The 2476-nt window shown below is 37.2% G+C and overlaps 1 annotated feature.

Moving 5' to 3' along the window:
- Nucleotides 617-1118: an enhancer, noted in NCBI's record as "NANOG hESC enhancer chr4:124485860-124486361 (GRCh37/hg19 assembly coordinates)". NCBI's record gives its function as "activates a minimal SCP1, AML or CMV promoter by ChIP-STARR-seq in naive H9 embryonic stem cells {active_cell/tissue: H9 hESC(naive)}" and the evidence as "EXISTENCE:reporter gene assay evidence [ECO:0000049][PMID:30033119]".

Consider the following 2476-nt stretch of genomic DNA (forward strand, 5'->3'; position numbering starts at 1 on the left):
GAGACTTGGCTTCCCTATGTTGCCAAGGCTGGTCTCCAAATCCTGAGCTCAACTTATCCTCCCACCTCAGCTTCCCAAAGCATAGGGATTACAGGTGTGAGCCACTGTGCCCGGCCGTAGAGACACTATTATTAGTTCCATTTCACACAGGGTGCAACACAACTGCCCTAGCTCCTACTTGTACCTATGAGTTTCTTTAAGCTGTTTAATTGAAATACAAATAATTTGATGATTTTTGATTTGTAATTTAACCTATATAACTACATCTGCACAAAGGACAAAACCCATACATCCAAGTGTTTTGTAAATGAAAGACTATGATTCTGCTTAAGGTGAGATTTAAAACTAATGAACTTGGTTTAAAGAAAAATTAATAAACATCACCCCCCAAAAGTTCTCTGCAGACATCTTCTAAAGAAACTATTTACATTTGATCTGAGAATTCTGTTACTGCCTTTCTTTTAGAATGTTTTAAAAAGTCAATCTATGCTTTTTAAAATAAATTGTCTCCCTTATTAATAGTTACACCTGGTTTTAAACCAGAGACAGCTTTATTGTGCATTTCATTCAAATGATCTTGTCTGTAAGTATGATTTTACCCTCAAAGGCTGAAGACTTAGCCGTTAGCAAAAGGTGCTCCAAATAATTTTCTAATAGTCTCTAAAGAGAATTTTCAGACAAGAGTTCCAAAAATGTTGTCAACATTATGTTATCTAAATTCTGGGAAGAGCAAGCGATTCTTCAAGGTCATACAGCGATTCAGGAACAAAGACAGTATAAGAATCTAGCTAGGGCTTTTGACTCCTGTCCACTGTGTTTTCTGCTAACCAACACAACCACTAGAGGTCTCAGCGAGATACTTATGGGCTGCCCCCTAAAGGTGGTGGTGAGAGAAGAAACCCAGCCGTTTCATGGGGAGTACAGATAAGAATGTGACATTGACCTGAAGCCTCTACTGGGAGCAGCAGAGAGTGTCAAAATGTTGAGCATTGAAAGATTGACCAGTCTTCGTAGTCTTATTTAGCTGTTGTGTGTGAGAGAAGGAAGTTGTTGGATTTATATTGTGCTCCTCATTGAGAAGTAATAATGATTTCTCATGAGCCAGTCTTACGGGTTTGAATGCCCAGAAATTCTAAGTCAGGGTTTCAACCAATTTTGTGGACCCTGAACACTATAATAGCTAGCATTTAAGTGTCTACTATATGTCAGGAATTGTTTTAAGTACCTTACATACATTACTTCACTTAATCTTCATAACAACCCATTGAAGTAATGACTTTGTATCACTCCTATTTTATAGATAGGGAAGCTGAGTTACAGAGAGGTTTCACAACTTGCTTTAATTTGCTCAAGGTTATATGGCTATTAAATAGTTGAATTGGGATTCAAACCCAGGCAATTTGGCTCCAAAGCCTAATCAATTAAAAATTTATTATTAGTAATAAAAATTTCAAACATACATAAAGATAGGAGAATAGTGCAATGGACCTCCCCATTTACCCATCTCCCACACTGACAGCAATCATTAACTCATGGCCAATCTTATTTTATCTATATTTCTACCTACTTCCCTGGTTGCCCAGCCCCTTTCCTGGATTATTACACACACACACACACACACACCCCTTTTTTTGGTCATTATTTCAATAGTTTTTGGGCTACAGGTAGTTTTTGGTTACATGAGTAAGTTCTTTAGTGGCAATTTCTGAGATTTTGGTGCACCCATCACCCGGGCTGTGAACACTGTACCCAATTTGTAGTCTTTTATCACTCACCTCTGCCCCACTCTTGCCCTCAAGTCTCCAGAATCCATTATATCATTCTTATGCCTTTGCATCTTCATAGCTTAGCTCCCATTTATAAGTGAGAACATACGATATTTGGTTTTCCATTCCTGAGTTACTTCACTTAGAATAATAGTCTCCAACTCCATCCAGGTTGCTGTGAATGCCATTATTTCATTCATTTTTTATGGCTGAGTAGTATTCCATTATCTGTCTATCTATCTATCTATCTATCTATCTATCTATCTATCTATCTATCTATCTCACATTCTATTTATCCACTGGGTGGTTGATGGGCATTTAGACTAGTTCCATATTTTTGCATTTGCAAATTGTGCTGCTATAAACATGAGTGTGCGAGTGTCTTTTTCATGTAATGACTTCTTTTCTTCTAGGCAGATACCCAGTAGTGGGATTGAGGGATCAAATGGTAGTTCTACTTTTAGGTCTTTAAGGAATCTCCGTCCTGTTTTCCATAGTGGTTATACTAGTTTACATTCCCACCAGCAGTGTAAAAGTGTTCCTATTTCATCACATTCGCACCAACATCTATTATTTTTTGATTTTTAAATTATGACCATTCTTGCAGGAGTAGGATGGTATCTCATTGTGGTTTTAATTTGGATTTCCCTGATAATTGGTGATGTTAAACATTTTTTTCCTATGTTTGTTGGCCATTTATATATCTTGTT

This window comes from Homo sapiens, chromosome 4 (genome assembly GCF_000001405.40).
Source record: "Homo sapiens chromosome 4, GRCh38.p14 Primary Assembly".
NCBI lineage: Eukaryota > Metazoa > Chordata > Mammalia > Primates > Hominidae > Homo > Homo sapiens.